The following is a 21,162-nucleotide window of genomic DNA, read 5'->3' on the forward strand; positions in this document are numbered from 1 at the left end:
TGACTCAGCTATATGTTGCCTACAGGAAACTCATCTTACCTGTAAAGACACACACAGACTGAAAGTAAAGAGATGGAAAAAAATATTCCATGCAAATGGAAACCAAAAGCAAGCAGGAGTAGCTAAATATATATGCACCCAACTACAGAGCACCCATTACGTAATGCAAATATTATTAGATCTAAAGGGAGATATCAACTGCAATACCATAATAGTTGGTAGACTTCAACACCCCACTCTCAGCATTAAACAGATCTAGACATAAAATTAACAAAGAATCATTGGATTTAAACTGCACATTGGACCAAATAGGCCTAAAAGACATTTACAGATTTCATACAACAGTTAGAGTACACAACATTCTTCTCATCAGCACATGAAATACTCTCGAGGATAGACCATATGTTAGGAAACAAAACGTTTCAACAAATTTTTTTAAATAGAAATCATATCAAGTCAGACTACAAAAGAATAAAACTAGAAACCACGAACAAGAACTTTGGAAACTGTACAAATACATGAAAATTAAACAAACATCCTCCTGAAAGACAACTGATCAAGAAAGAAATTAAGGAAGAAATCAAAAAACAAATGAAACGAATGAAAATTTGAAACACGACATACCAAAATCCATGGGATACAACAAAAGCACTGCTTACAGGGAAATTTACAGCAATAAATGCCTACCTCAAAAAATATGGAAAGATTTCAAATAAACAATATAATGAAGCACCTCAAGGAACTAGTAAAGCAAGAACAAACAAAACCCAAAATTAGTAGAAGAAAATAAATTATAATAATCAAGGTGACTCAGTGACTCAGTGCCTGAAAGCCCAGCACCCTGAGAGGTGGAAATGGGAGTATCACTTGAGGCTAGGAGTTCGAGACCAGCATGAGCAACATAGCAAGACCCCATCCCTAAAAAAATGTAAAAAAAACAGCCCAGAGCCCTGTAGTTCTAGTTACTTGGGAGGCTGAGGTGGAAGGACTGCTTGAGCCCTGGAGTTCAAGCTTGCAATGAGCTATGATCATGCCACTGCACTCCAACCTGGGAGACAGAACAAAATTCCAACTTAAAAAAAAACAAAAAAACAAAAAAAAAAAAACAGGGCAGAATTCAACAAAACAGACACTCAAAAAACAATAGGAAGGATAAACAAAACCAAGTTTTTTTGAAAAGATAAATAAAATCAATGACCACTTGCTAATCAAGAAAAAAAAACAGAAATAGCCTGTTGAATAGAAGAAAATATTTGCAAACTATTCATCTGAGAAGGGACAAATACCCAGAATATACAAGGAACTCAATAGTTTAAAAAAAAATCCCATTAAAAAGTGGGCAAAGGACATGAACAGACATTTCTCAAAAGAAGACACAGAAATGTTGGTTTGTGTCCTTTGAGATGAAAAAATAAAGAAGAAAAAGACATAGAAATGGCCAAAAGGTATAAAAAACAATGCTCAACATTACTTACCATCAGGGAAATGCAAATCAAAACCACAATATATCATCTTACCGCAGTTAGAATGGCTGTTATTAAAAAGATAATAAATAACAAATGCTGGCGAGAATGTGAAGCAACAGTAACTCTTCTATACTGTTGATAGGAATGTAAATTAGTACAGCCACTATGCAAAACAGCATAGAGATTTCTCAAGAAAACAAAAATAGAATTACCACATGATCCGGCAATCCTGCTACTGGGTGTTTATCCAAAGGAAAAGAAATCAGTATGTCAACAGGATACCTGCACTCCCATGTTTAGTGCAGGACTATTTACAATAGCCAAGATATGTAATCAACTAAGTGTGAATCAACGGATAAATGTTTAAAGAAAATGTAGCATATATACACAATGGAGTACAATTTGACTATTAAAAATAATAATAATAAGGCCCGGAGCAGTGACTCACGCCTATAATCCCAGCACTTTGGGAGGACGAGGTGGGCGGATCTCTCAAGGTCAGGAGTTTGAAACCAGCCTGGCCAACACAGCAAAACCCCATCTCTACCAAAAATACAAAAATTAGCCAGGCGTGGCGGCGCACACCTCTAATCCCAGCTACTCAGGAGGCTGAGGCAGAAGAATCGCTTGATCCAGGGAGGCGGAGGTTGCAGTGAGCCGAGATCGCACCATTGCACTCCAGACTGGGCAACAGAGCGAGATTCTGTCTCAAAAAAAAGAAAAAGAAAAGGAAATCTTATCATTTGCAGCAATATGAATGGAACTAGAGGTCATTATGTTGAGTGAACTAAGCCAAGCACAAAAAGACAAACATCCCATGTTCTCACTCTTATGGGTGAGATTAGAAAGTTGATCTCATGAAGGTAGACAGCAGAATGATAGATACCAGTGGCTAGCAAGGGTGAGTGGGTGGGGCTTGAGGGGAGATGAAGAGAGGTTGTTAATGGGTACAAACATACAATTAGATCGAAGTAAAAAGTGCAAATGTTTGATAGCAGAGTAGGGTGACTACAGTTAACAACAATACATTGTATATTTCACAATAGTTTAAAAAAAGAGGACTTGAAATGTTCCCAACACATAGAAATAACGAATACTTGAGGTGATGGACACCCTAAATGCTATGAATTGATCATTTCACATTGTATGCATGTAACAAAATATCACAAGTACCCCAGAAACATGTACAAGTATTATGTATTTAAATTTTTTAAAATAATTTTTAAAACAAAATAATGTCTAAGATACAAAACATTCCCAGTATTGATTTAAATTGGATTAAAACCACATATAAAATCAGTTCTCAAGTATATATGCAGTCAAGTAGCAGTGCAGATAATTTAAAAATCAAATTTAAATCACATATCAAAATTCACTGCTTCTATTAACATCAAAATTAACTTGTATCTAAAACATACATGAACAGAAGAAGGAATGAGGGAGAGCCCAGAAGGCAGGTAAATAGTAGAAAGAAGCCAGAACAAATTAAAGATTGTCACAATCCATAAAATAGTAAAACCACAAATGAATAATCAGGAATTTGACATAATTTATTCCGTTAACCAAGCGACTGGATTATAGCTTTCTAATTTTAATTCTACTACAATCTGTTTGACAGTCCACATCTTTATGCTATTTTAGCATTTTATAAAATGTAAATCTTTGCAATATTCCTGTTGGATAACATGTCATGAAATAATAATAAAAAGTAGCTGACAGGAACAACCCAACCACATACTACCTTTTTAGTTTTTTAACAAGCCCTCAATAAAAAGCTATCTGAAAACAACCAGATTCTTTAATTGTTTAGACTTCGACTCAACAGTCAGAAAAACTGCAGTATATATTGCCTTATAATGATCACTGTATTCCAGGAAAACAATTTGGTATTCCCTCAAAAAAAAAAAAAAAAAAAACACACAGAAATACCATATGATCCAACAATTCCACTTGTAGGTATATACCCAAAGAAACTGAAAGCAGGAACTCAGATAGTTGCACATCAATGTTCATAGCAACACAGCAGACAAAAAATGAAAACAACCCAAATGTTCACAAACAGATGAATAGGTTTTTTTAAAGTATGTATGTATACATACAATAGAATATTGTTCAGCCCTAAAAAGCAACCAAACTCTGATTTTTGCTACAACATGGATGAACCCTGAAAACATCATGATAAGTTAAATAAGTCAGACATAAGTCAGTGAAATAACTCAGACATTATGGTGAGTGACATGGTTTGGCTCTGTGTCCCCACCCAAATCTCATGTTGAACTGCAATTCCCAGTATTGGGGGAAGAGTTGGTGGGAAGTGATTGGATCATGGGGGCAGATTTCCCCCTTGCTGTTCTTCTGATAGCGAGTGAGTTCTCACGAGATTGTCCCTGCTTCCCCTTCTCCTTCTGCTATGACTGTACATTTCCTGAGGCCTCCCCAGCCAAGCCTCCTGTACAGCCTGCAGAACCATGAGGCAACTAAACTTCTTTTCTTTATAAATTACCCAGTCTCAGGTAGTTCTTGATAGCTTGTTTGGAGGTTCTAGCAGGGGAGCACAGCTACCCATATACCCTTGACCAAAGACCAGTCCTCCTCTATCGAGGATGGTCGTCCTCTTCGACCAAGCATGCAGCTTCAGGAGGGATGCACATGGAGCAGTGAGGGAGGAAGGGGACACCCATCTAGCCAGCCAGATCAGTCGAATGAACGCTGGAGATTAATGGGGTGACAAATGTTGCAGCCAGATTGCCCTCACATCCTCAGGTAGTTCTTTCTAGCAATGTGAGAATGGACTAATACAGTAAGTGAAATAAGTCAGTCATAAATAATCCATGATTCCACATATATGAGGTACCTAGAATAGCAAACTCACTGGGACAGATAGTAGAATAGTTGGTTGCCAGGGACTGGAGGGAGAGAAAAATGGGGAGTCACTGTTTAATGAGTACATACTTTCTGTTTGTGATGATGGATATGGTGACGGTTGCACAACGTTGTGCATGTACTTAATGCCATTTAATGCATTCTTTTAACTGATGCCATAATGGGACATAAAGCCCCAACCAATGAACTTTGGCAATACAGAGAGGAAACCACAGGGCAAAAATCTTGCTCTTTACCACTTAAAAATGGTTAAAATGGTAGCTTTTCATTTTACTACAATAAAAATAAATTTTTAAAAATCACTGCATTCCAAAAAGCTGGGGTATAAAATCAAATTGTGTGGCCATGTTTCATAATGGTTAAAGTCTCAAGGGATTTGGTTGGGAAGATGGTATGTGAAGATAATGATGAGATTACAACATTCTTCTTAAATGTATACAGCATAGAGGCTTGCAGTTTTCAGAGCACTTTTACATATATTACTGCATCTTACCCTCAGAGTAACAGTACAAAGGAGACACGATGAATATTTTAATCAAAGGGTATGACTCAAGGTCGTAAGACTAAAATTAGGAGTAGAACTCTAGTATTTGGTTGCCGCATATTGCTCTTTCTACTGTATCAAGAATGCCTCTCAAGCATATGATGGAAAAAGTCAAGCTAACACATGCGGAGTGTTGTAGTAGTCTTAAAGTAACATCATTAGTCTCCAGCAAGTCTTTGAAAACTGAACAAATGCAAGTAAGATATAGAAATAAAAATTATAACCTAATTTGGCTTTCACTGAAAATTGTGCTTTACAATATTACCACAAAAAACTCTCTTTGATTTTTAATGCTTGAGCCACTTTCAAGACTATGGCTAAACTCTGTCCACTACTATGTTTCTTTCAGCAAGTTTAGTTTTTATTATTTTATAATATACTACACCGTCATCAAAAATAAACTGTAGATTTCCTTGAGGAGGTAAGATGTCCTGTATAAAGAACATTATTTCCACTGGGAATGTTTTCCTACCCTCAGATTTAACCACTGTATTGATTTTATGAATCAGTAAGTATTATGTTTCTCATCTTGATTATAGCGGTTCTATTATGATTCTTTTTTTGGCATTGGCTAAGTAGTAAAATTGTAAAGAATGGAGTGAAGTTATAGGAGGACAAAATCAGTTTAACAAATGATAGCAAATTTTTAAAATGCACCAAACAGATACTGAGTCCCTAGTCTTAGTGCTCTGAATATGCAGTTTTACCACGTCGTAGTAATAGCTGGTTTTTCTTTCTCAAGCTTTAGAAAAGCATTTTACATCCAAACCAGACAAATAATAGACATACCAGAACCACCTTTGGTGCAGAGCAACAAAATAAATTATGTTAGGATGTCATTCCATAAGTTTTCAGGAAGGTTATGTACCTCCTACATCTTAATATACAGAAATACTTTCTATAGGTTAGAATAGTTAGAATATAGAGTAGTCCCCTCTTACCCACATTGTTTCAGTTATCCACAGTCAACTGTGGTCTGAAAATAGGTGAGTACAGGACAGTAACATATTTTGAGAGAGACCACATTCACATAACTTACAGTAGTTATCATAATTGTTCTCTTTTGTTATTTGTTATTGTTGTTAATCCCTTACTGTACCTAATTTGTAAACTGACCTTTATCATAGGTATTTATGTAAAGGAAAATTTAATATATTTAGGGTTTAGTACCATCCACAGTTTCAGGCATTCATTGGGGAATCTAGAACCTATCCTCTGCAAACAAGGATGGACTACTGTAGACTAAAAAGAAGTTGCCTTTTCCCAAGGGGTTGCTATTTTAGCTAAAGACAGTATGGTTCTAATACTCAGAAGAAAACAAAATACAGGGTGCATCCTTTTAACTGAAGTCATAATGGGACATAAAGCCCCAACTAATGAAGTACGTTGCCAATACAGAGAGGAAATTTGAGGGCAAAATCCTTGCTTCGAGGTACTATCAGAGTAATCCAGGAGTCCCAGAGACAAGCAGTGTGTTCATGAATAGAGTTCTATCATATCTAAAATGAAGCAGGCCTATGACAGGCCTGGGTTAGTGGTTACTAGGAGTAACTGTACTTAACTAAGGCATTTCTGATGTTTCCAGATACTCATTTCCTCTTAACTTTCACCTTCCTAATTAAGATGCTTGAGAGAGTCTCCATTCAAATTATTTTTTAAGATAAGTTGCCAATATTAACAACAAATATTATTTTGAGCCAATTATCTTCCACTAGTATACTTTTTAAAATAGAAAAGTCATTTTTTCAAGTTATCATAGGGAAGGGAAAGGAAAAGGAGAGGAGGAGGGGAAGAGGAGAGGAACTGGAAGGGAAAGGAACAGGTCTGCAGAGGAGGAAGGGGGAAAGGGTAGAGAGTCAGCCAATGTACACCCCACCAGGCATCTTCCACAGAAATTCTAGGGCTCGGCCAGGTACGGTGGCTCATGCCTGTAATTCCAGAACTTTGGGAGGCCAAGGCAGGTGGATCACGAGGTCAAGAGTTTGAGACCAGCCTGGCCAACATGGGGAAACCCCACCTCTACTAAAAATACATAAATTAGCCAGGCATGGTGGCGTGCATATGTAATCCCAGCTACTCAGGAGGCTGAGGCAGGAGAATCGCTTGAACCCAGGACACAGAGGTTGCAGTGAGCTGAGATCGCGCCATTGCACTCCAGCCTGGGTGACAGAGTGAGACTCCATCTCAAAAAAAAAAAAAAAAGAAAAGAAAAGATAAAAAGAAAAAGAAAAGAAAAGAAATTCTAGGGCTATAAACTTTGGGGGGGGGAAAAAAGCTCAGCCAGGCACAGTAGCTCACGCCTGTAATCCCAGCACTCTGAGAGGCTAAGGCCAGTAGATCACCTGAGGTCAGGAGTTCGAGACCAGCCTGGGGAACAAGGGGAAACCCCCATCTCTACTAAAAATGCAAAAATTAGCCGGGCGTGGTGGCGTGCCCCTGTAATCCCAGCTGCTCAGGAGGCTGAGGCAGGAGAATCACTTGAACCTGGGAGGTGGAGGCTGCAGTGAGCTGAGATCACGCTACTGCACTCCAGCTTGGTCAGCAGAGCGAGACTCCATCTAAAAAAAAAAAAACAAGAACAAGAAAAAGGAAAAGGAAAACACAGTTCCAGGCTTAACCGATGGCCCTGAAGTAAATGAATTACCTCAAAATAAGCAAAAATACATAAACACAAATCTACAAGAGTTCCTAAGGAAGATAAAAGTAAAACTAAAACTTAAAATGAGTAACTTCATCCTATGTAAGAAGACAAACAGAACAACAACGTGAGTCTCACGTAAAGGAGGGCCAATGGAAAGAACCTGTCATGATGGCATAATTACAGAACACATGGTTACACCTATTATACATGATTACAGAATAAGTTGATTTATCTACTGAAAAGAAAAAAGTTTTCTATAAACACTTTCCAACCTCGCACAACTATGTAATTAAATAATTGGCAAGTAAACTACTATGTATAAAACATTAAGGGCCTGGTGCAGTGGCTCACACCTGTAATCCTAGCACTTTGGGAGCCCGAGGCAGGTGGATCACTTGAGGTCAGGAATTCAAGACCAGCCTGGCCAATATGGTGAAATGCCATCTCTACTAAAAATATGGAAATTAGCCAGGCGTGGTGGTGAGCACCTATGATCCCAGCTACTCAGGAGGCTGAGGCACAAGGATCACTGGAACCCAGGAGGTGGAGGTTGCAATGAGTGAAGATCGCGCCACTGTACTCCAGCCTGGGCAACAGAGCGAGACTCGGTCTCAAAAAAAAACAAAAACAAAAACAAAACAATAAAACAATGACAGGATTTAAGAATAGAGGGAGACTTCCACTGTTCAGGTATCTAATGTAAACCAACTGTATAAAATAACAATCACCTAAATTTACTAATTTAACAAACTGATGAAGTGGACTTGACCAAGAGCACACAAAATCAGAGTTTAAATCTGAAACAGTCTTTCCGTCACATCAAACTATAATTCCTTGCTTAGGATATATAAGGGAGCCCCCAGGATGGCAAAATGCTGAACATCTTCCTGGTGACAGATAAAAAAAAAATAATTGAGGCCACACCCGGTGGCTCACACCAGTAATCCCAGCATTCTGGGAGGCTGAGGTAGGAGGATAGCTTGAGCCCAAGAGTTCGAGACCGGCCCGGGCAACACAGCAAGAAGCCCTATCTACAAAAAAAATTAAAAATTAGCCGAGCATAATGGCACACATCTATGGTCCCAGCTACTCAGGAGGCTGAAGTGGGAGGACTGCTTGAGCTCAGAAGTTTGAGGCCAGCCTGAGCAACAAAGCAAGACCCTGTCATTCATTCCATCCTAAATAAATAATAAAATACCAACCTGGCAATTGATACTGGCATATAACACAACTATCTGTCCCACACCATGATAACTAAGATTCTTGATTTGCTAGACCTTGTGTTTATATTTGACTTGTTGGTTCAATATAGACTATTTTGGAAACTTACTAGTGCAAAGTGATTATAATTTCAGATTTCAGAGATGCACACAAATTAACAACTTTATTCCTGCATACAAGTATCAAAAATGTATGTCAACCTGCAGAGGTACAGAATGACTTTAAGAAATTAAACAGGTTATAATACAATTAACTGAAGAATAAGTATTCAGAAGCTATATCTAAAAGGAACTGTATATATGATGACCAAAGAATTTTTAATCAGTTTAAAGCTATTACACTATAATACAAGGTTTCCCTGATGCTTAATAAAACACACCAAACAAGCATATTCAAACCAATAAACTAAACATATTCAACACAGTTACTATAAAAGATTTTCAGGTATAATGAAATAGGATAAACATTAAAAGAACCTTTAGTCACATAAAATCCTTGCTGCACCTTTAAGAAAACGCCACAACAACCTTATAAGGAGCTTAACCACTTGAACAACAGAAAAATCCAAGGTTGACTATGAATCTAGATAAAATCTGAGCTAGGGTACTTATCTCACAAAAGATCCAACTGAACATGAAACATTTTAGCATGAAATATAACATAATTAAGAAAAACAATATATAGGCTTTTCTACTAGGCATATACGTAATTTCTGACATTCACTGTCTAGGTCACCAACTCTAGAAACTCTGGCATTAAAAACTACACCACTGGCCAGGCACGGTGACTCACGCCTGTAATCCCAGAACTTTGGGAGGCCAAGGTGGGCAGATCATCTGAGGTCAGGAGTTCGAGACCAGCCTGGCCAACATAGTGAAACCCCCATCTCTACTAAAAATACAAAAATTAGCCAGGTGTCGTGGTGCACACCTGTAATGCCAGCTACTAGGTAGGCTGAGGCAGGAGAATTGCGTGAACCCAGGTGGCAGAGGTTGCAGTGAGACAAGATTGCACCACTGCACTCCAGCCTGGGTGACAGAGCAAGACTCCACCTCAAAAAATAAATAAAAAATAAAAAATACACCACTAAATAAGCCATCAGATATAAGCCTGTTTTAGATTACCTTTTAGAGGAAACAATTTCTCCAAAGAATTAAAAACAGCCAGAAAAATACTTTCACGCTCTTACTTCCATACCCTTTTCAAAGGAGGAGGGAGAAAGTTGAGTTTATATTTTAAAACAACAACAACAACAAAAACCCTCATTCCCTCTCTTCCAGGTAAGGCCTGGTTAGTGCTTAAAAACATGTAAAATAGGCCAGGTGCAGTGGCTCACGCCTGTAATCCCAGCACTCTAGGAGGCCAAGGCAGGCGGATCATGTTAGGAGATCGAGACCATCCCGGCCAACATGGTGAAACCCCATCTCTACTAAAAATACAAAAATTTAGCTGGGTGTGGTGGTGCACGCCTATAGTCCCAGCTACTCGGGAGGCTGAGGCTGGAGAATCACTTAAACCCAGGAGGCAGAGGTTGCGTGAGCCAAGATCACACCACTACACCCCAGCCTGGAAAAAAATGTGGAAAATAAAATTGATATTTCATATTAAAATTATATCTAAGACACTAAACTCAAAGCAATGATCAGCTCCTAATAACCTTTAGTCATATAAAATTCACATACCCTTTTGTCAGCAATATTAGTTACTTTTAGTCATACAAAAATAACATGAACACAGATCAGCTTTTCCTTTTCCTTATGCTTCAGTAAGTAATTCAAGTAGCCATTATCCCTTCAGATTTCTTTACAAACAGCTTTCTTGGGATTTTAATTTCCGTATAAAGCGGAATCAGGCAAGAATAAAGAATACCATATCCTAGAAAATCCAATACTGAGATAAAAAGCAATGTAAAATGTACTTTAACTAACGTATGTTGCACTATACCTGACACGAAGTAGGTACTAAATAAATATTATTTTCCTTTGGGAATTTTTGCTCAAATTTTGTTGGAAGAGATTTAACTACCATCAGTATTTTTTAAATTTTTGTTTTTAAACATCTATAACAATAGTATTTTTACACCATTCAAATTTATTCCCTAGCTCTTCTCTATGATCAGGCATTCATTTGTGTTCCCTAGATTCTTACCTCTGCTTCTCAAAGTCTGCTGGTTTGTCTACAGATTTAAAAGTGCCCTAGATTTCTGCTACCTGACTCATGATATAACAGAGATTAAGTCACAGACATCTCCAGACTAACCCAACTCCAGGCAAGAACCAGTGAAGGGAATATTTATGCCTTTTACAGGTTACCTGGGCCATATTCTTGAAACCTTCATATTTCAGGAGTAGGGAGAACTCAAATCCCAAACCACAAAGAAAACTTCCAACCAAATGTCTAATCATTTGTTTTAAACAGTTTGGAAATTTACTCTTAAGGCTACAGGAAGAATTACCTTGTCAATTCAGAAAAAAATAAAGTTGTATATTCTCCAAACAATTATATTGCACTTAAGGAAAGTTTTTGGTTTCTTCTATATTATATACAAATCACATATTACATAAAAATCATTTCTGATGTATGGACTGAGGTACCCAAATAAATACACAGGCAGAAAAATATGGTTTATTACTGACTAGTGTTTTAATGTTTTAAACTTAGTATACTAATATATTTTGTAGAATTTTAAAGCATAAAGGAGCTTAAATATTATCTTGTCTAAACTTCAAGGTTTTACTAATGAGGAAACTGAGGCTCAGAAGAAATCTCTAGATTTCATGTCAAGTCAGAAGGAAAGTCAATTAGTCTGAATTAACCACACTACTCCTTTCTCCATCCAGTTTATGACTACTCCAATACATATATAAAATCACAAAATTCTTTACTAAGTGGCTTCCTACTCAAATGCAAAGTTGGTGGCTGTAAGCTACCAACTCTATCAAAGACAGTCAAGTTAGCAAAGTGGCGAGAAGACCAGAAAATAAAGACAAGATGCCTACCCCAAAGTACATAATTTGGAAAACAAGATATGAAGAATGAAAAGGTTTAAACGTACATATACATACAACCACAAAAATAATTCAATATAATAGTGTATATATACTTCCTACCAAAAAGATAAACTATATCATAACAGACAATCGTTTTAAGTAAGAGTCTCAGATACTTCATTTTACTTATTTTTTTAATTATCACTTTGAAACGGTGTTTCAGAAAATTCCTACAAGCTCTATTAGGAAGAAGAAAGAGTGGAGTGATCCCTTATGCTTCTCTTCAATGACAGGTGCAAACAAAAGGCATAAGTTAAAATATATATATACATACAACGTAAGAATCATACTAAAAGCTATAAAAGCGATCAATCTTGCAATGAAGTTTTTCTCATGCTATATTAATAACCTTTGTTAAATCTAAGACAGATATTTATTCTTATTTTCACCTATATCAATATAGGTGATACAGAGATATTCCAACATGTTATATAGAATCAAAACATAAACAATATTAACCTGCATTTTACAAAAACCACGTAAGAAAAATTTCTGGAAATTATAGTATGCTAAAGTACATGATGGTTAAGATAGGAATGGCCAGGCACGGTGGCTCACACCTGTAATCCCAGCTTTGGGAGGCCAAGGGAACCTGGGCAACATGGCAAAACCCCATTTCTACCAAAAAAAAATATGAAAATTAGCTAGGCATGGTGGTGTGTGCCTGTAGTCCCAGCTACTCAGGAGGCTGAGGTGAGAGGATGGCTTGAGTCCAGGAGGCAAGAGTTTCAGTGAAATAAGATCTCACCACTCTACCCTAGCCTGGGCAACAGAGCCCGGCCCTGTTTCAAAAAAAAAAAAAAGGCCAGACGTGGTGGCTCACACCTGTAATCCCAGCACTTTGGGAGGCCAAGGTGGGCGGATCATGAGGTCAGGAGATCAAGACCATCCTGGCTCACATGGTGAAGCCCCGTCTCTACTAAAAAATACCAAAAAAAAAAATTAGCCGGGAGCGGTGGTGGGCGCCTCTAGTCCCAGCTACTCAGGAGGCTGAGGCAGGACAATGGCATGAACCCAGGAGAGGGAGCTTGCAGTAAGCCAAGTTCCCCCCACTGCACTCCAGCCTGGGTGACACAGCGAGACTCCGCCTCAAAAAAAAGAACAAGACAGGAACGGCAGGACAACATGGTATCTAAGAACAAGAGAAGGGAAATTACAAGACAGTCCCTGATACATCACGCACTTTCACATGAACACGAGGACTGAGAGAAAACAAATTTCGAACAAAAATCCTGCATCCCACAATATGACAAATCTGCTTACTACTTAGTCATTAAGAACAATTACCGATGAGGATGACATAGAGTATAAAATATTTAAGAAGAAAATCTGTTTCCTAGTATCTATGTACTTAAATGTTTTGTTGGTGGTGTTTTGTTTGTTGAGACAGGGTCTCACTCTTGTCGCCCAAGCTGGAGCGCAGTGGCACAATCATGGCTCACGGCAGCCTCAACCTTCCTAGACTCAAGTGATCCTCCCACCTCAGCCTCCCAAGTAGCTGGGACTATAGGCATGCACCACCACACTTTGCTAAGTTTCTTCTAATCTTTCTGTAGAGTCAGGATCTTGCCATGTTGCCCAGACTGGTCTCAAACTGCTGGGCTCAAGTGATCCTTTCACCTCAGCCTCCCAAAGTGCTGGGATTACAGACATGAGCCACCATGTCCAGCAATTCACTCACTCAATATAACTAAAATGACCATCATCGACATCAAAAAGATGAGTAAGATTCACACTCTGCACTTCAAGTTCACAAGGAGTAGAGGACATATGCATGTAAATAAAGTTATAATAAAATAAATGCCATAACTGACATATATACAGCATTGCTAAGTGAGCAATCCAATTCATCAGAACTTATTCAGTGATTTCTGAAACTCAGAAAACTGATTCTTAATTTCTCAGCCAAGCTAAGAGATGTATTTTACCCTAATATCTATTATCAAAACAGTTTAATCTTCTAGTAAGTATTACTGGAGTTGTTTCCTTAACGACTATGGCACTGACTCAAATGGTACTTTTATTTTCAAACAACTTTAAGCTTTATTTCAAGAGCAACAGCTTTTCATAGAATTCTTTTCTTTTTTTTTTTTTTCTGAGATGAAGTCTTGCTCTGTCGCCAGGCTGGACTGCAGTGGCGTGATCTCGGCTCACTGCAACCTCTGTGTCCCTGGTTCAAGCGATTGTCATGCCTCAGCCTCTTGAGTAGCTGGGACTACAGGCGCATGCCCAGCTAATTGTTTGTATTTTTAGTAGAGACGGGGTTACACCATGTTGGCCATGATGGCCTCGATCTCTTGACCTCGTGATCCACCCGCCTCAGCCTCCCAAAGTGCTGGGATTCCAGGCATGAGCCACCGCACCTGGCCATAGAATTCTTAAGAATGGACTTTTGGTTTGGAAAAATATAAACGTTTCTTCATTTAACAGTAACATCTGTAAACATGGCATATAATATACTCTGTTAATCAGAAAACTTGGAAGCCATGCTGAAAGTGTGTTCATGTGCTTAGACATAAAAACCACAAAAAATTACTTTAATACTTATACATACACATACACACACACACACACACACACACACACACACACAGAAGCTGTGCTACTACCCAGAAATGTAAGTCACAACTGTATAAGCAAAACCCCTTCCAAGTATATTCTTCTTGGTATGTCTAAGTTAACTGCACAGTATTTAATATATTCTATTATGTGTTAAAGTATACTGATCAGATTCTAGGGGACTAAAGCCTATTATGTGAATAAAAAAAATAAACTCTACTTGATATTTTTTAAAGGGTGAAATACAGAAAACAATTCTAGCCACAATGTATAAGACAGTACAATTTTATAGGCTGGGCTACAAGATAGTACACATCTTATAGGCTGGGCTACAAGTAACTCTAACTCAAAGTCATTTCAAAGTTATATTTATTATGTGTTGAGCCAATCTACCTAAAAATAAAAATAAAACATATTCGTATTAAATACAAAAAATAAAAATTTATAAAAATAAAATACAAAATGTTATTAACAAATAATAAATAATTTATATACAGATAGAAATCCTGTTAGGAGGAGTTACAGTGTACCAAGACTAATATTTGTTAGACGATAGAAGAGGAAGAAAGACCTAGCAGGAAATCTGTAATTATACTACTCCAGTCATTTTGTAGGCCTATTTTCAAGGAAAGGGAGGAACAAGATCATCAGCCCTTTACATTTTTAAGTAAAGTATTTTAAAAGGTAATTAAAATGACCACGGTTTAGGGCAGAAATTCTGAGACAGAGTGAATATATAAAAATTGGGAAAATAAACTAAAATATCTGAAATTGGATGAATTACAGAAAATACAGTAAGTTTGTATAGTTAATTAAGCAGATTTGTGTTAAAAGCACCCTAAAATGGGCCAGGTATGGTGGCTCATGCCTGTAATCCCAGCACTTTGGGAGACCGAGGTGAGCGGATCACTTGAAATCAGGAGTTCGAGACCAGCCTGGCCAACATGGTGAAACCCCGTCTCTACTAAAAATACAAAAATTAGCCGGGCATGGTGGCGCACACCTGTAGTCCCAGCTACTTGGGAGACTGAGGCAGGAGAATCACTTGAACCCAGAGGTTGCAATAAGCCAAGAGAGGATCATTACACTCCAGCCCAGGCAACAGAGCAAGACTCTGTCTCAAAAAAAAAAAAAAAGTACCCTAAAATGACCTGTATAAATGAGACCACATTACATGAGATTTCCTGGTTTCAGGTCCTTTTTTAGTGCCTCAGCAAGAAGTTCTCCCTCCTTTGAATATCTATAGCATTTTATCTGTAATGTAACACATCACATGTGCCTTATACAATAACAGGCACATCTAACTGCTCCTATGAGATCTATGTTTGATTTATGTTTCTATCACCCACAGTCTATACTAAGTAACTTTTCACTAGCAGTCAGTAAACATTTTTTGGACAACTACATGGCAGCCCACTCACTCATGCAAACTCTCTCGCTTTCCCTGCTCTCTCTCACTCACTGACACACACACAAAGGAGCTAGGGATTTAGTTTTGCCATTTATTCAATATGAATTACATGACACAGCTAACAAAAATCTAATTATATAATAGGAATAGATATTTAAGCCAAAAGCAGCTAAAATCTTTTCCTTTTGGCAGTCAAACCATATTTGGTATAGATTAATATAATTAATAATACTAAGTATATTTTGAGATGCTCATTAAAAACAGTAAGACTAATGATTGCTTGTAATTTCATAGTACATAAATACACTAAAATGTTTATCTAGAAGAAAAGACCCTGAAATAAATCTTTTTCCCTCCTTCAGATAAAGAAGATTTTATAACTTAAAAGTAATTTTTTCAACAATAATCATTACTTTTGTAATACGGAAAATACATTAATTTAAGTGACACATTTATTTTCATGTACAAAATACTTTAAGTTTCACAGCATTCCTAATTATCTGATTTTTCATCCATTAAAATGTTTAAGCACGTGTACCATATGTGCAATATAATGGATAATACCAAATAGTAGCCAGGATGCCTGCTGTGAGGAACAGAAAACACGGTTATGGAAAAATTAATAAGAAGTACCCACAAAAAGGAAGAGGGCACAAATGATGCCAATGATTCAGATAAGTAACTTTAAAGTTTAGACGGAATTAAAAAGTAAAGTGTCTAAGAGGCAGAAGTTGAATTGTACATTAAAAGATGATCAGGATTTAGGACAAATGACACAGAACAAAGTTTACATGGTATATTCACAGACTAGAAGATCATTCTGGGTGAAATACACACTTGATGCTGGCAAGTAAAACAAAGTAAGTTTAGAATAATAGACTAGGATTAATTTACAGAGAAACTTAAAAGTCAAATTAAGAAAATCTGGCTAACAATCATTAATTGAAGACTTTAGATCAATAAGCTGACATGAAAAAAGAAGTATTTAGAGAAAAGTCATCTCATAGCAGTAGAATAGCTTTATTGATAAACAGAGCAGAAGCGGGGAAACTTATTAGGAAGTGAACACTACAGTAATCAATCAGGGTTACATCAGTACAAAAAGTACAAAAGGAATAGATTTAATAATTACACATAAGACAGAGAGGGCTTCACAAAGATCCCCAAGATTCTGTAAGTGTCCCTAACAGATAGAGAAAAAATAAGGGGTGTTCAGCCAGGTCTCGGTAAAATCAGTGCTGTGTAAGTTATTTAACTTCTCTGAGCCTTAGTTTCCTCGGATATAAAAAGCTATTTACCTCTGTCTGGATGTTGAGAAGATTAAACAAGAAAATGCATATAAAGCATCTAGAACACAACAGGTACTCAATAAGTGATTTTTTTTAACCTCTCTCCCTTGACTCCCCTTTATCACTTAACAATTCTGTTTGAGAACTGAACAAAACAGCAGGTAATCTGTCTACCAGCTGTCATTTTAGAACTGGTAAAACTGAGTAAATGATGTATTCAATGGCATATAAGTAGTTACCTTCACTGCTGGCACCAGTAGATAGATATATTGACCATAAAACATATAAAAAGTAGTCAGAAACTATGTACACAGAATCTTCTTTAAAGACATATCTTTTACTAATGTAAGATCTGATTCATAAATTCAAAAACATTTAAATTTGACTGTTTCCTCAACAATATAAAAGGGCAATCCATTTTAAAATAAGTCATTTTTTAATGCATATACCAAATTCCAGTGGAAATGGAATTTCCAAATGAAGACCTTGCATTAGAGAAGGAAAATTAAGGATATAAATCTCCTCTTTAACTTAGATTGAATATAGAGGAACTTCAGACACAGTCAGCAATAAATTTACTTACCTTCCATGGGCATGGAAATCTAGACGTAAAAATTGGTCTTCATGTGAGACTGCTCTTTTGGCACGCTGGTGTTTTTGGTGTAATGAATCCACATTGTAAGATAATCCTTCATAATGTCTGATATATTTATTTAAAGGATTCCCATACTGACCTATAAAAAAAAAACAACATTCTGAATTAGTATCATCTTGAAGACCCCTTCTAGTTCTAACACGATTATTCAAGTATCTATGAATATGTATGAAACAACTTCTCCCTAATCCCAGCACTATTATGAATTCTGCATTAATATTAACACATATATTATTAAAACTTATTGTGAGGGTAATTCCAACCGCACACACAAGTTTGGATGTTAGCCATAGGTTTGTTTTAGATGTCCTTTATCAAGCTGAGCAAGTTCTCTTCTATTCACATTTTGCTGATAAAAACTATCAGGACCAGGTGCAGGGGCTCACTCCTGTAATCCCAGCATTTTAGGAGGCTGAGATGGAAGGACTGCTTGAGGCCAGGAATTCCAGACCAGCCTGGTCAACATAGCAAGACTTCATCCCTAATAAAAATAAAAAATAAAATAAAAATAAATAAAAAGTATAAAAATAAATAAAAAGTTAAAAAACTATCGGGAACAAATGCTTATTTCTGTACCTGCTCTTTCTGCAGCTATTAAGATGATCATATTTTTTCTTTTTAATGTATTAATATGGTGAATTAAATTTTACTGATTTTTGAACGTTAAGCCAACCTTGCATTACTGAGATAAACCCTACTTGGTCATGTTGTCAGATTCAATTTACTGTAATTTTGTTTAGAATTTTGTTTTCTGTGTTCAGGGTATATACCGGCTTACAGTTTTCTTTTCTTGTACTATCTTTGTCAAGTTTTGGTATTGGGGTAAAAAAAAAATGTGTTGAGAAGTATTACCTCTTCTTCAATTCTCTGGACAAATTTATGTAGAATGAGTGCTCAGTCTGGGGCTAATTATTTCCCACTACTGAGGCAAGACCTATCTCAGTAGTCTACCCAATGCTCCATGAACTGAGTTTTTCCAGTCTACCTGGTAAGAAAAGGCACTACTTATAGCCCTATCTGAGCACCAGGTACCGTTCAATCTAATCTTTTGGGATGATTCTTTAGCCTCAGGTAGTTTCCACATATGGGCTGATTAGAGCTCTGCTGAACACTACAGTGGAAGCCTCTGCAGATCTCAGGGATCCTCTGTGCAGCTCTCTCTTCACCCTGATATTCTGTCTGTGAACTCCAGCCACTTTGGTCTCCCCTGACCCTCAGCTTCATCTCTTCAACTGAGGAAGTTCCCTGGACTCTACCTAGGTTCCCTCTCATAGTACCACAACCCATAAATCTCTCAAGGCAGAAAGCTGGCACAATCGAAGGGCCAACCTTACTGTTTCCCCTCTCAGGGTCCTTCACTACCTGATGACCAATGCCTTAAAAACCATTGTTTCGCTGGGCGTGGTGGCTCACGCCTGTAATCCGAGCACTTTGGGAGGCCGAGGCAGGTGGATCGCCTAAGGTCAGGAGTTCGAGACCAGCCTGACCAACATGGTGAAACCCTATCTCTACTAAAAATACAAAAACTAGCTGGGTGTGGTGGTGGCTGCATATAAACCTAGCTACTCAGGAGGCTGAGGCAGGAGAATCACTTGAACCCAGGAGGCAGAGGTTGTAGTGAGCCGAGATCATGCCATTGCACTCCAGCCTGGGCAACGAAAGTGAAATTCCGTCTCAAAGAAAAAAAAAAATTGTCTTTCTGTATTTTTCCTGGTTTCCTTGTTTCCTTTCATGCAGGAAAGTAAATTTAATCCTTATTTCTCCATCTTCAAGAGAAGAAAAAAAAAAGTGATTCTTTGACAAATCAAGTAAAATTTTTAACTAAATTGTCCTCTTTTATAAAACAAGTTGTCTAAAAATGGTTCATCTATTATCCAACACTAAATTCTGTGATCCAACACTAAATTTTCTGTTTATGCACTATGTGGTTAAGGGCATAAACTCTGATGTCAGATTATCTGGGTTCAAGTTCTAAGATTTGTTAGACAACAATGTGAATATACTTAACACTACTGAAGTGTATACTTAGAAGTGGTTAAGACAGTACATTTTACCTTAAGCATTTTTTACTAGAATAAAAAAAAATGATCTGGGTTTGAATACCACTACCTTCAATCATTAGTTGTTTCCCAGATCGAATAGAAAACTACTCAGGTTCAGTCTCCTGTCCATAAAATGAAGAAACTAGAGTAGCTCTCTCTTAAGACTCACAGATTAAATGATTTAAACCATGTGTGACAATTAATATTAGAGAGCCTACCAAAGAGGCAAGGTTCAATAAATTATCCATCATCATCATCTCTTCCCCCTTCCTCCTTTTCTTCCTTCTCCCACACTTTGCCTTTCAGACCAATATACACACACTGAAGCCAAGAATTCAGGAAGAAAAAACAAAACTGGGTTGAATTCTGACACTTCCTAGCCATAACCACATGAGCTAAGTAATTATTTAACTTTTTTAAATCTCAGGAGGTGGTTTTTTAATCTGTAAAATGGAGACAACAATGCCTACCTTAAATGCATGCAAAATGCTTACGAGCACAAAGAGCGGCATAAAAGGACAATTCAACTTAAACTACTATTGAGTTACTTCCTTCTCCTCTTGAACACACTCCTCCCAAGAGAGGTGAGAAGAATGAGTCCAAAACTATCTTCACAAGTAGCAAAGAAATTTCAGTGAAGCCAATGTCTAAGAGATAATAAAACCCACTAGCATGAAACTTTTATTTTATTTTATTTTATTTTATTTTATTTTATTTTTTTTTTTTTTGAGACAGAGTCTCGCTCTGTCACCCAGACTGCAGTTCAATGGCACAATCTCGGCTCACCGCAAGCTCCACTTCCTGAGTTCACGCCATTCTCCCGCCTCAGCCTCCCGAGTAACTGGAGACTACAGGCACCTGCCACCACGCCCGGCTAATTTTTTGTATTTTTAGTAGAGACGGGGTTTCACCATGTTAGTCAGGATAGTCTCGATCTCCTGACCTCGTGATCCGCCCACCTCAGCCTCCCAAAGTGCTGGGATTACAGGCATGAGCCACCACGCCCGGCCTAGCATGGAACTTTTAAAAATCAAGACTAAATAATGGAATCAAATATACCAATGCATCTTCTGTATCCTTTAAACATACTTATAAATGTAGTATAATTGAGTTTAGCAAAAAAGAAGAAATCAATAATGGGGAAGAATGAGAACTTTTGAATAATTTCTTTCATTTTGAAAATTTCCACTGGATTACTGAATTGGATTTAAGTGGTCTGAGTTGCCATAGCACAAGCTTGGCTTTGCAGAACTGTGGATTCCACTCCTTTTTCGGCACCAAAGGCGTCAAGCTGGTTTTTATTTCTGTCTCTGCTGCTTAAATCAGGAAAAAGTCAAGTTTTTAAGTCGCAGTTCAGATAAAGTATTCTGTCACTTTTGATAACTTAAAACAATAACTATT

The 21,162-nt window shown here is 37.4% G+C and overlaps 1 protein-coding gene and 1 pseudogene across 2 annotated transcripts in view; both read right to left on the reverse strand.

Moving 5' to 3' along the window:
• ADAM10 (ADAM metallopeptidase domain 10) overlaps nucleotides 1-21,162 on the reverse strand; it is a 160,899-nt gene that overhangs the window by 111,121 nt on the left and 28,616 nt on the right. For both annotated transcript variants that reach the window (NM_001320570.2, NM_001110.4), the window contains exon 2: nucleotides 17,648-17,798. In NM_001320570.2, the coding sequence (NP_001307499.1) occupies nucleotides 17,648-17,798 (151 nt within the window). The remainder of the gene's footprint in view (nucleotides 1-17,647; nucleotides 17,799-21,162) is intronic.
• Nucleotides 3,986-4,225, reverse strand: RN7SKP95 (RN7SK pseudogene 95; annotated as a pseudogene).

This window comes from Homo sapiens, chromosome 15 (assembly GCF_000001405.40).
Source record: "Homo sapiens chromosome 15, GRCh38.p14 Primary Assembly".
Lineage (NCBI taxonomy): Eukaryota > Metazoa > Chordata > Mammalia > Primates > Hominidae > Homo > Homo sapiens.